This window comes from Homo sapiens, chromosome 6 (genome assembly GCF_000001405.40).
Source record: "Homo sapiens chromosome 6, GRCh38.p14 Primary Assembly".
Lineage (NCBI taxonomy): Eukaryota > Metazoa > Chordata > Mammalia > Primates > Hominidae > Homo > Homo sapiens.
In genome coordinates, this window is record NC_000006.12 from 156,361,707 (window position 1) to 156,376,156 (window position 14,450).

Sequence of the window (14,450 nt, forward strand, 5' to 3'; positions counted from 1 at the left end):
CAGGCTTGCTGAGGTAAACAAAGCAGCCGGGAAGCTCCAACTTGGTGGAGCCCACCACAGCTCAAGGAGGCCTGCCTGCCTCTGTAGGCTCCACCTCTGGGGTCAGGACACAGACAAACAAAAAGACAGCAGTAACCTCTGCAGACTTAAATGTCCCTGGCTGACAGCTTTGAAGAGAGCAGTGGTTCTCCCAGCACACAGCTGGAGATCTGAGAACGGGCAGACTGCCTCCTCAAGTGGGTCCCTGACCCCCGAGCAGCCTAACTGGGAGGGACCCCCCAGCAGGGGCACACTGACACCTCACATGGCAGGGTATTCCAACAGACCTGCAGCTGAGGGTGCTGTCTGTTAGAAGGAAAACTAACAAACAGAAAGGACATCCACACCGAAAACCCATCTGTACATCACCATCATCAAAGACGAAAAGTAGATAAAACCACAAAGATGGGGAAAAAACAGAACAGAAAAACTGGAAACTCTAAAACACAGAGCGCCTCTCCTCCTCCAAAGGAACGCAGTTTCTCACCAGCAACGGAACAAAGCTGGATGGAGAATGACTTTGACGTGCTGAGAGAAGAAGGCTTCAGACGATCAAATTACTCTGAGCTACGGGAGGACATTCAAACCAAAGGCAAAGAAGTTGAAAACTTTGAAAAAAATTTAGAAGAATGTATAACTAGAATAACCAATACAGAGAAGTGCTTAAAGGAGCTGATGGAGCTGAAAACCAAGGCTCGAGAACTACGTGAAGAATGCAGAAGCCTCAGGAGCCGATGCGATCAACTGGAAGAAAGGGTATCAGCAATGGAAGATGAAATGAATGAAATGAAGCGAGAAGGGAAGGTTAGAGAAAAAAGAATAAAAAGAAATGAGCAAAGCCTCCAAGAAATATGGGACTATGTGAAAAGACCAAATCTACGTCTGATTGGTGTACCTGAAAGTGATGCGGAGAATGGAACCAAGTTGGAAAACACTCTACAGGATATTATCCAGGAGAACTTCCCCAATCTAGCAAGGCAGGCCAACGTTCAGATTCAGGAAATACAGAGAACGCCACAAAGATACTCCTCGAGAAGAGCAACTCCAAGACACATAATTGTCAGATTCACCAAAGTTGAAATGAAGGAAAAAATGTTAAGGGAAGCCAGAGAGAAAGGTCGGGTTACCCTCAAAGGGAAGCCCATCAGACTAACAGCGGATCTCTCGGCAGAAACCCTACAAACCAGAAGAGAGTGGGGGCCAATATTCAACATTCTTAAAGAAAAGAATTTTCAACCCAGAATTTCATATCCAGCCAAACTAAGCTTCATAAGTGAAGGAGAAATAAAATACTTTACAGACAAGCAAATGCTGAGAGATTTTGTCACCACCAGGCCTGCCCTAAAAGAGCTCCTGAAGGAAGTGCTAAACATGGAAAGGAAAAACTGGTACCAGCCGCTGCAAAATCATGCCAAAATGTAAAGACCATCGAGACTAGGAAGAAACTGCATCAACTAACGAGCAAAATCACCAGCTAACATCATAATGACAGGATCAAATTCACACATAACAATATTAACTTTAAATATAAATGGACTAAATGCTCCAATTAAAAGACACAGACTGGCAAGTTGGATAAAGAGTCAAGACCCATCAGTGTGCTGTATTCAGGAAACCCATCTCATGTGCAGAGACACACATAGGCTCAAAATAAAAGGATGGAGGAAGATCTACCAAGCCAATGGAAAACAAAAAAAGGCAGGGGTTGCAATCCTAGTCTCTGATAAAACAGACTTTAAACCAACAAAGATCAAAAGAGACAAAGAAGGCCATTACATAATGGTAAAGGGATCAATTCAACAAGAGGAGCTAACTATCCTAAATATATATGCACCCAATACAGGAGCACCCAGATTCATAAAGCAAGTCCTGAGTGACCTACAAAGAGACTTAGACTCCCACACATTAATAATGGGAGACTTTAACACCCCACTGTCAACATTAGACAGATCAACGAGACAGAAAGTCAACAAGGATACCCAGGAATTGAACTCAGCTCTGTACCAAGTGGACCTAATAGACATCTACAGAACTCTCCACCCCAAATCAACAGAATATACATTTTTTTCAGCATCACACCACACCTATTCCAAAATTGACCACATAGTTGGAAGTAAAGCTCTCCTCAGCAAATGTAAAAGAACAGAAATTATAACAAACTATCTCTCAGACCACAGTGCAATCAAACTAGAACTCAGGATTAAGAATCTCACTCAAAGCCACTCAACTACATGGAAACTGAACAACCTGCTACTGAATGACTACTGGGTACATAATGAAATGAAGGCAGAAATAAAGATGTTCTTTGAAACCAACGAGAACAAAGACACAACATACCAGAATCTCTGGGACGCATTCAAAGCAGTGTGTAGAGGGAAATTTATAGCACTAAATGCCCACAAGAGAAAGCAGGAAAGATCCAAAATTGACACCCTAACATCACAATTAAAAGAACTAGAAAAGCAAGAGCAAACACATTCAAAAGCTAGCAGAAGGCAAGAAATAACTAAAATCAGAGCAGAACTGAAGGAAATAGAGACACAAAAAACCCTTCAAAAAATCAATGAATCCAGGAGCTGGTTTTCTGAAAGGATCAACAAAATTGATAGACCGCTAGCAAGACTAATAAAGAAAAAAAGAGAGAAGAATCAAATAGACACAATAAAAAATGATAAAGGGGATATCACCACTGATCCCACAGAAATACAAACTACCATCAGAGAATACTACAAACACCTCTACGCAAATAAACTAGAAAATCTAGAAGAAATGGATACATTCCTCGACACATACACTCTCCCAAGACTAAACCAGGAAGAAGTTGAATCTCTGAATAGACCAATAACAGGAGCTGAAATTGGGGCAATAATCAATAGTTTACCAACCAAAAAGAGTCCAGGACCAGATGGATTCACAGCTGAATTCTACCAGAGGTACAAGGAGGAACTGGTACCATTCCTTCTGAAACTATTCCAATCAATAGAAAAAGAGGGAATCCTCCCTAACTCATTTTATGAGGCCAGCATCATTCTGATACCAAAGCCGGGCAGAGACACAACCAAAAAAGAGAATTTTAGACCGATATCCTTGATGAACATTGATGCAAAAATCCTCAATAAAATACTGGCAAACCGAATCCAGCAGCACATCAAAAAGCTTATCTACCATGATCAAGTGCGCTTCATCCCTGGGATGCAAGGCTGGTTCAATATATGCAAATCAATAAATGTAATCCAGCATATAAACAGAGCCAAAGACAAAAACCACATGATTATCTCAATAGATGCAGAAAAAGCCTTTGACAAAATTCAACAACCCTTCATGCTAAAAACTCTCAATAAATTAGGTATTGATGGGACGTATTTCAAAATAATAAGAGCTATCTATGACAAACCCACAGCCAATATCATACTGAATGGGCAAAAACTGGGAGCATTCCCTTTGAAAACTGGCACAAGACAGGGATGCCCTCTCTCACCGCTCCTATTCAACATAGTGTTGGAAGTTCTGGCCAGGGCAATCAGGCAGGAGAAGGAAATAAAGGGTATTCAATTAGGAAAAGAGGAAGTCAAATTGTCCCTGTTTGCAGATGACATGATTGTTTATCTAGAAAACCCCATCGTCTCAGCCCAAAATCTCCTTAAGCTGATAAGCAACTTCAGCAAAGTCTCAGGATACAAAATCAATGTACAAAAATCACAAGCATTCTTATACACCAACAACAGACAAACAGAGAGCCAAATCATGAGTGAACTCCCATTCACAATTGCTTCAAAGAGAATAAAATACCTAGGAATCCAACTTACAAGGGATGTGAAGGACCTCTTCAAGGAGAACTACAAACCACTGCTCAAGGAAATAAAAGAGGATACAAACAAATGGAAGAACATTCCATGCTCATGGGTAGGAAGAATCAATATCGTGAAAATGGCCATACTGCCCAAGGTAATTTACAGATTCAATGCCATCCCCAGCAAGCTACCAATGACTTTCTTCATAGAATTGGAAAAAACTACTTTAAAGTTCATATGGAACCAAAAAAGAGCCCGCATCGCCAAGTCAATCCTAAGCCAAAAGAACAAAGCTGGAGGCATCATGCTACCTGACTTCAAACTATACTACAAGGCTACAGTAACCAAAACAGCATGGTACTGGTACCAAAACAGAGTTATAGATCAATGGAACAGAACAGAGCCCTCAGAAATAACGCCGCATACCTACAACTATCTGATCTTTGACAAACCTGAGAAAAACAAGCAATGGGGAAAGGATTCCCTATTTAATAAATGGTGCTGGGAAAACTGGCTAGCCATATGTAGAAAGCTGAAACTGGATCCCTTCCTTACACCTTATACAAAAATCAATTCAAGATGGATTAAAGATTTAAACGTTAGACCGAAAACCATAAAAACCCTAGAAGAAAACCTAGGCATTACCATTCAGGACATAGGCATGGGCAAGGACTTCATGTCCAAAACACCAAAAGCAATGGCAACAACAGCCAAAATTGACAAATGGGATCTAATTAAACTAAAGAGCTTCTGCACAGCAAAAGAAACTACCATCAGAGTGAACAGGCAACCTACAACATGGGAGAAAATTTTTGCAACCTACTCATCTGACAAAGGGCTAATATCCAGAATCTACAATGAACTCAAACAAATTTACAAGAAAAAAACAAACAACCCCATCAAAAAGTGGGCAAAGGACATGAACAGACACTTCTCAAAAGAAGACATTTATGCAGCCAAAAAACACATGAAAAAATGCTCATCATCACTGGCCATCAGAGAAATGCAAATCAAAACCACTGCGAGATATCATCTCACACCAGTTAGAATGGCAATCATTAAAAAGTCAGGAAACAACAGCTGCTGGAGAGGATGTGGAGAAATAGGAACACTTTTACACTGTTGGTGGGACTATAAACTGGTTCAACCATTGTGGAAGTCAGTGTGGCGATTCCTCAGGGATCTAGAACTAGAAATACCATTTGACCCAGCCATCCCATTACTGGGTATATACCCAAATGACTATAAATCATGCTGCTATAAAGACACATGCACATGTATGTTTATTGCGGCATTATTCACAATAGCAAAGACTTGGAACCAACCCAAATGTCCAACAATGATAGACTGGATTAAGAAAATGTGGCACATATACACCATGGAATACTATGCAGCCATAAAAAATGATGAGTTCATGTCCTTTGTAGGGACATGGATGAAATTGGAAATCATCATTCTCAGTAAACTATCGCAAGAACAAAAAACCAAACACCGCATATTCTCACTCATAGGTGGGAATTGAACAATGAGAGCACATGGACACATGAAGGGGAATATCACACTCTGGGGACTGTGGTGGGGTGGGGGGAGCGGGGAGGGATAGCATTGGGAGATATACCTAAGGCTAGATGACGAGTTAGTGGGTGCAGCGCACCAGCATGGCACATGTATACATATGTAACTAACCTGCACAATGTGCACATGTACCCTAAAACTTAAAGTATAATTAAAAAAAAAAAAAGGTGAGAAAGAAAAAAAAAAAAAGATTGAGGGGTCATATCTGGTGAGGGTCTTCTTCCTGTGTCATAACATGGCAGAAGGCATTACATGGCAAGAGCACAGGAGAGAGAGGGGGAACAGAATGGGGCCAAATTCATCCTTTTATCAGGAACTCACTCCCACAATAACAGCATTAAGCCATTCAAGAGGGCAGATCCCTCCTGACTTAATCACCTCTTAAAGGTCCCACCTCTCAACACTGTTGCATTGGGGATTAAGTTTCAACACATGAACCTTGGGGGATACACTCAAACCATAGCACTCCTCTATCAAGAAAGAACATATGACAAAGAAAATGTCTTTTCCAGGGAGAATGGGAAATGGAAATCTGGACCTTTCTAGCCCAGAAGAGAGTAGAAGGACAAAGAGAAGCTGAAGGCAGGCAGGTCACACTGATTCGTAACATCTGTGTGTCATGGTTTCCCACCTACCAGGTAGGTTGGAGGATTAGGTTGGAAGAAATCAAAGGACATGGGTTTTGTGTGTGCCCCAGTTTCTATTTGGAATTCAGATGAGACTGCTGGGCTTGATGCCCCTTTAGCAACATGGTGTGCTGCACTGAGTAAAAATGGCAGCGCACTGTGGTGAGGAAGAAAGAGCTTTGGTTATCATTCTCAGGCATCCCTCAACTTCTGTGGCAGAAGCAGCCCCACCTGCCCTGTGGAGAAAGGGAAGGTACCTGATGATGCTTGCCAGGGAGTGAGTAGAGAGGGGAATGGTAATGTGGAAAAGGGTGGGAAGGTCACCAAATAGCCAAGGACCTCTGGGCAGCCTTGGCCTCCAAGCCCCAGGGGGTTCCTGCAGTACCAGGAAGGACTGAGGGAGAGCCCAGTCAGCAGAGAAAGACCCTGAGGCCAAGATAACATGGGGCACAAGTCCATCTGTCCGTCACCATCCTTAGTGATAGGTGGGCAGAGGTCACTGCATGCAGAGCCTGGGGAACATAAAGGACAACAAAGGGTCCAACAAATGTGTCTACAAGACATTTTTCTTCCCCACCTCCACAAGACCACGAGTGAGTCAATCCCCACTCCCAGACACTCATGCCATTTTGGAATAGGTCACAATGAAAGGGAAGAAAACTAAAACGCTAAACATATACTGGAAAGGAATTAAATTACTTATAAAAGTTGATTTATGCCAGAAGAGATGGAGCTAAATTAACGAGTCTTAATTGACTATTTAACTTAGTAACTAATTTCACTAGCTAGGTTGAGATAATGAACTAGTTAAAGCCAACACACACATAGATGTAGACACACAACACAGATCAAGTTGGACGGGGACCTGCAGAAAAGACCACTATAGAACATAGAGGGCTAAGTTTTCTCTTTAAATAAGTTTATGATCCTGTTATGCAAAGCCCATACTATATTGTAGTTGTTTACTGACACATATTCTCACATTAAACTGAAGTTTTGAGAGTCAAGACCCTGTATGTTCAACTTCTAATTCTACAATAATTCCTGGCATACAAGAAGTCCCTAAAAATATTTGCAGAATAAAGGAAGAGAAGAATTAGGGTTGCCAAGGTAGTGTGAGAATAACCACTGGGCAATCTTAATTGACATGCATAACAGCAAAATAGACTCAAGAATCCAACCAAGACAATCTACCTCTGTCTTGGCTTTTGAAGAGCTTTAGTTCTGAGTTTTCTTAGTGTCTGTTCTCCTTTATTTTTTCCTTTCTTGCTCCACCGAGGCATTAAGAAGAAAGGAAACAGAAGACTTTACCTAATGAGCTCTTCCAAATGTTTCTGAGCATCCCCTCCCCACCTCTGGATGTGTTTGTAGGCCACTGTAAAGGTACAGGAATGATGAGGGAAGCAGGCAAGCAGAATGGACTGTGAGAAACCAGGAAGTCAAAGCACACACGCATGCACACAGACAGTTAACCAACAAGTGGCCCAGTCATAACCATATGTTAATAAATACACATATGTAAATATACATACATATATATGCTGAAAAAATATATAAGGCAAGTATAAACTAGTCTACCTGAAACCCTAGACATTATTTTACCCTATGTTCTATCCAGTCTTGCTCCATAATAGGAAACAATAAGAAACACTGCTAAGTGGCCTTTAAAAATAATCTTTGTGTATTAGTCCGTTTTCACACTACTATAAAGATACTAGCCAAGACTGGGCAATTTATAAACAAAAGAGGTTTAATTGACTCACAGTTCAGCATGGCTGGGGAAGCCTCAGGAAACTTACAATTGTGGCAGAAGGGGAAGCAGCCACCTTTTTCACAAATCAAAAGGAGAGAGAAGAGCAAGCAAAGTGGGAAGGACCCCCTATAAAACCATCAGCTCTCATGAGAACTCACTCATTATCATGAGAGCAGTATGGGGGAAACCACCCCATGATAAAATCACCTCCCTCTAGGTCCCTCCCTTGACATGTGGGGACTATAGAGATTACAATTCCAGATGAGATTTGGATGGGGACTCAGAGCCAAACCATATCACTTTGTAATTGCTTATAGGAGTGCCATGATGACTTTGACCAAATTCTGCTAAAAGGAGTCTTGTAAAACAGGACCAGGGTCTCTGCAGGAATTAGAATTGGGATGAAGGGAGGAAGGGAAGACCTAGCTGAGTCACAGTGCTGTTGACTCCTGGACACCATTTTCTCCTCCTATCATCCCCCAGCTATGCTGCAGAGCAGGACATCCAAAATGTACATTTTCCAAGATCCTGGTCAGATTCTACTCAGAAGGAGCACTCACATGTGACTTGGAAGGCAGAAGAGAAGCGGTCATCACAGTGGTGCTCCTCTGGCAGTGAGGGGAACATGTGGGCTTTGGCAGATGTGCGATTTTGGGTGAGCCGCAAGAGTTCTGGAGGCAGCTGCATCTGCTGGAGACCTTACAGCCTGCTGCCTCTCTCAAAGCTAAGTCATCTCCTGTATTAAATTCCTTCCTTCTTGAAATGCCTGGAGTTGTTTCCATTTCTTTGAACATCCCTGATGCAATGGAACTTAACAGTTCATCTTATTCTATGGTGGAACAGAGAACATATTTTTAGGAAATGTTAGCAAGAGATGAGCTTTTATAAATCCCTCCCCTCCTTAACCCACCAGCAAATCCTTTTGCCTTGTCTTACAAGTCAGCTTGCATAGTCACTTCCTAATCCTGTGATGATCACTCCAGGGCAAACACCCCTAGCTCCCATCCAGTCCCCCTCATCTAACATAAGACGTAGACAGAGACTCAGCACTACAGCTTCTTCTGGGTCCCCCGCATTGCTCTCATGGTCAAAGGTCTTCTGTGGCTATATCCTCCCACCTCAGAGCTTAAACGCTCTTACCATCCAGTCCCTCCAGAGCCTGGCTGTCCCCAGCCACCTTTACAGCACTTCCCTAGCCCATCACATCTCTAGCCAGGCTGTTCTCCCTCCTTTCACCAGCACACCACATGCATCATGCCTTGCTTCCTTCGTTCAAGCTTTCCCTCCCCGAGAATGCCCAACCACATTTGCAGAGACAGCTCAAGTCTTAGCTCCTCCATGAAGACTTCTCTAACCACACAAAATTCCATCAATACCTTGCTCCTCAGAACTGAAATATTTGAGCCAAGGAGATTGCCTACAAAGTCCAGCTCAAATTGTTGACCCAGAGACTTGGGAGTTAAATGCATGGCTAGCTTTAAACTACCATCAGCCCTCTGTATCCATAGGTTCCACACCTGTGGATTCAACCAAGTGCAGATAGGAAATATTTTTTTAAAAAATTTCATCAGTACTGAACATGCACACTTTTTTCTTTGTCATTATTCCCTAAACAATATAGCATAATAACTTATTATATAACATTTACATTGTAGTAGGTATAAGTAATATAGAGATGATTTAAAGTATACGCGAGGATGTGTGTAGGTGATAAGCAAATACTGCTCCATTTTATAGCAGGGAGTTGTGTCATCTGTGGATTGTTGGTATCCAAGGAAGAGGGTCCTGATAACCACAGATATCAAGGGATGACTGCACTACCTTTTGGCACGGTTTCTTGGCAGACACTAATGGCTAAAGGCTGCTCCAGCTCCTACAGTATCTTTTCCACATGGCAACCAGCAATCTTTTTACACTGGATATCAAAGCACACACCTTCCCCGCTTGGCTTCTCCTACACCATGTCCCCAACATGAGCAACCAGTCACTCCATTTTCGCCACACTAGTCTTTTGCTCTTCCCTGAAGAAGCCATGCTTGTTCCCACCTCAAGACATTGGCATGTGCTGTTCCAACCATCTGGAAAGCTCTTCTGTTAGAACCTCACATAACTCCCTCCCCTTCACTGCATCTCACTTCTCTACTCAAATGTCAGCACCTCAGAGAAGCCTTCTCAGATAATTCTTTCTGCCATGCCTTCTCCTCAGGCTCTGTCCTCTTACTCTATTTTTCTGTATTTACGCAATACTTCTATGACGTATGTATTTGTTCAGTGGTTTATTTTTCATCACTCTAAAAATGAAGCTTTCCGAGGATGAAGAGCCCAGTGCCTCACGGACCATTATCCCCCTAACAGCAAAAACTGTGCCCAACACATAGCAGCAGCTCAGGAAAGATTTGTAGATTGAAAACATGAATGATTCTATTTTAACCCATCGGGCAATGTTTGGGATAGAGTGAGTCTTATGCTCCAGAACTCAAGTTAGGCCATATGACTAGAAAGCTTTCTGTATCTAAAAGTATGTTTCCAATAATGAATGGATGAAATCAAATTTAAAAGTTGTTTTTCTTTTTATATGGCATTATAGTCATTTTGATGTGACACTGACATCGTTCTTGTTATGTTGTTTCCCTTTTATAACACAATTTGAATAATTTTAGGACAACTCTGTAAGATTTGCAACAATTGAAGGCAAAGCCAGAAAATGTTATTTCAAGAGTCTTATGATTTGCAATCCTCACCAGAACTGTGTAATTTTGTTGTCTCTTGTGGTACAGGCATGAGGTGGAACGTGTAGTCCACCCTAGGAAGAGGAAGAGGAGCAAACATTTAAACATGCAGACACGTTAACATTGAACTGGCTATTTCTTTTATTGATATCAACACACTTTGGCTGCCCCAACATTCAGCGATACTCAGGATAGTCACAGAATTAAAGGTAGCCCAGCCTTTTCTAGCTATACCCTACTTAGTCACTTAAATATCTAAAATCCTTTTATTGTGGCTTTTCTTAGAACCAAAATACATAAATTTTCATCGTTCTGAAGCTAAAAGTGCCATATAAAATAAGGTTGAAATGCATTTAGCTCAAGTAAAATAACCAAATATAATCTCAAATAACAAACAAATGCCAACAAGAGTGGGTTTGGGGGAACAAATCTGCTTAGAAATTTTTATCCGTTTTCTCTAACTATGGAACAGGCCCAGTCCTAACAGCATGTTCCACAAACAAATAATGTCATTATTTATGACCTTTTCAACATTCTATGCATAAGAAACAGGCATAGAAAATTTTTATAAAATAAAAAATATCATCAACAATAGCCAAATGTCACCTACTTAGGACTAGAACTCACTTATGTTTTAATAAAATATCAATTTATTTGAACATTAATAAAACATAGGAGTTTGTAGAATTAAGAAGACATTGTTTAATTGTTCCATGAGTGCAATAGCAACCCATGCTATAAATAAATAACCAATTCCTCCATTCATACCAAGATGGTCAGCACATACAGGAAAGATACTACTGCCACAGATTCACTCAAATGGCCTGAGCCTGCGGGGACATGAAGGCCTCAGAGCACTTCTCCCTATACGATAACACCATCATTTATCTGTGAGTCAGCAGCATATTCAAATAATATTCATTTTATCACTGGATATTAAAATGGCTTGAATATGATAAAAAAGAATTAGTTGGATGCCACAAAGAGCAGCCAGATCTTAAGATAAAGAAGCCAAGAGCTATCAAAGGATCTAGCCTTAGTGGACTGGAAGATATTACAATCTTAGGGCCCCTCTTGAAGAAAAAGAGTACAAAATTATAAATATAGAATTGTTGTAGAAGTATATTTTATACATTATTGAGAAAAGAAATCTCAACAAATTATATACACAATTTAAGCTGATAAATTCAACACAGATCATAAAAATCCAACAGCACCATTAATGTTTTTATTAACTAAATAACTAGCATACTCCTATAATACTTTTCTTCATAACTTTGCTGGATGTTCTTTTAACCCCTCTGCATAAGACAAGAATGGTTTAATATATTCCATACAGAGAACAGAAAGATGGCTTCGTCTTCCCTCTAGCATGGTTGATAGAAAGAGGCATTAACAAATACATTCTTGGCAAGAGAGAACCTCCATTTTGACTGGGTGTTGGTAAGAACCAAATCTTCTCTTAACAATGTAACACATTTGGTGAAATTTTCACAAACCGACCCGGGGCTCCATACTAACCTTGTTTCTAACTTGTCTCTCCCCCACCACCAACACACACTTCTGGCTGGGGATGGAGAGAGTGCTGGATTCAAGATGGTGTCCACCAGACGCTCCTCAAGTTGGCATTCCCAGTTGTTTCTCCACTTGCACAGCCAGCAATACTCCATTATACATGGAAGGGACTGCAAATCACAGAAGTGTATTCCACTCCACTTGCAGCAAACATACGCCCATCTCATCTTCTCCTTGGGTCATCTCAAAATTGTCCACGGCGGCTCCAATACAGCCCAAGAGGAGGAGAAGGAAGAGAAGTTGGAGTGCAAAGACATCGTGGCCTTAATTGACTGAAGTTTAAAATGTCTTCTTTGTGAAAGTTTTAAAAATCAAATATTAACATGTCAATACATGTCTGGGGCCTCTCCCAGAGCCTTGGGAAGGGTTCCTTACCAATGACAGGCCTGATAATTACACTTGGACAGTTTCACAGTAAAGCTACATCATTCAGAAGATGAAGATTAAAGAAAGAATCCCAGAGTTGAAATAGAAGATTGGTCAGAACTGGAGAGGCAGAGTGAATCAGCACAGCCACCCTTCTCCTGCCTGCACCACAACCTGTCTCACGGGGGCTGCCCAGAAAATGTCGAGTTGTGTCAGGAACGATGAGCACCCAGACAGAGATTGTTGAAAAAAAAGCAAAGAAAAAATATGCTAAATCATGTTATATTACCATTTTGTAGGTAAAATAGTCAAATATCTATATTCTATAGGGTTTGACCTAATACTTATTATCCATATTTAGTTAATGCACCATGTGCCATATTTTTGGCACTCCTAGGCATTGTCATGGGTTGAATTGTATCCCCACAAAAAAAGATGCAATGGACTAACCCCAAATATCTCAGAATGTGACCTTATTTGGATATGAAGTCTTCAGAAGTAATCTAGTTGAGATGAGGCCATTAAGGTGGACTCTAATCCAAAATGACTGGTGTCCTTTTAAAACGGGGGGATTTGCACACAGAGACAGATGTGCACAGAGGGAAGATGATGTGAAGAGACAGAAAGAATGCCATCTGCAACCCAAGGCTACCGGAAGCTAGGAGAGAGGAATGGAACAGATCCTTCCTTCACAACCCTCAGAAGCCAACCCTGCTAACACCTAGACCTCAGACTTCTAGCCTCCAGAACTGCAGGAGAACACAATTCTGTTGTTTACGCCATGCTGTTAACAGCACTTTGTTACGACAACCCTAGGAGACTAACCTAGGCATTGACTCCTTAAAGCTTCACTATGCTCCTGTAAGGTGACTGCTGTTACTATTACATAAATTTCAGAAAACTGCAGCTCAGAGAAGCTAAGAACAGTGTCCAAGTTCACTGACATAGCAGGGGATAAAACTGGGCTTTGAACCCCAGAAGCCTGGCTCCAGGCTCACTCTTATGATCTCCATGCAGCACTAGCTCAGTGGACTTATATTTGCATTTGGTAATCATTATTACTATTTTTTGAGATGGAGTCTTGCTATGTCACCCAGGCTGGAGTGCAGTGGTGTGATCTCAGCTCATTGCAACCTCCACCTCCAGGGTTCAAGCAATTCTCCTGTCTCAGCCTCTTGAGCACCTGAGATTACAGGTGTGCACCACCCTGCCTGGCTAATTTTTGTATTTTGAGTAGAGACAGGGTTTTGCCATGTTGGCCAGGCTGGTCTCAAACTCCTGGCCTCAGGTGATCTACCAGCCTTGGCTTCCCAAAGTGCTGGGATTACAGGCGTGAGCCACTGTGCCCAGCCCAGTAATTGTTTTTAATTAGCAACATCCATGGATAATATGAAGAACATTTTTAAGGCCCTGAAAACCACTTATTCTCTGAAATACTATTTTTAAAATATCCACTACAATCCTGTTTGCAAGACAGGAAGTTTGCCTCAACTAAGGATAATTGGCACCAAAATGGGAATGGTGCCAATTCACTTAAAGTGAATACAGAGAGAGACCAAAATGGGAAGAGATAGTTTCTAAAACTTCATTTTGGGTGAAAACTAAGAAATAATGCATTAATTCTCAGGATGAACAAAAACAAACATTTGAGAAACAGGTAAATTGTACTAAATTTCTAATAAAGTTATCTAATGCCCTTTATTTCATGTTTGATTTTCATAGCTTGATTATAAAGAAGGTCATTTTACCAAAAAAAATTAATGAGTCATTAATTTTTCCAGTGGCATCTCTTATTCTTTGGAGATTCATAATTTTCATTTTGGAGAATCCATCTACTTTTCATCCATATTAAGTTTTTCTTCTTTAGTTCTCAAGTAGGTTAACTCTCCTGGAATCTCATTTGTAAATGACTTTGGGTAGTAATGCTTTGAGCTGTTCTCCAACCTCACTTCCATGGACTTTATGAAATCCCACCTCTTTCACAAGAATTGCAGTT

At 41.1% G+C, this 14,450-nt stretch overlaps 1 long non-coding RNA gene across 2 annotated transcripts in view; it reads left to right on the forward strand.

Moving 5' to 3' along the window:
- The window catches only part of LOC105378071 (uncharacterized), a 59,237-nt gene extending 50,780 nt beyond the window's left edge, over positions 1-8,457 (forward strand). For both annotated transcript variants that reach the window (XR_943139.3, XR_943136.3), the window contains 2 exons: positions 5,918-6,043; positions 8,268-8,457. This is a non-coding gene — a long non-coding RNA (uncharacterized LOC105378071). The remainder of the gene's footprint in view (positions 1-5,917; positions 6,044-8,267) is intronic.
- Positions 8,458-14,450: the final 5,993 nt, after the last annotated feature.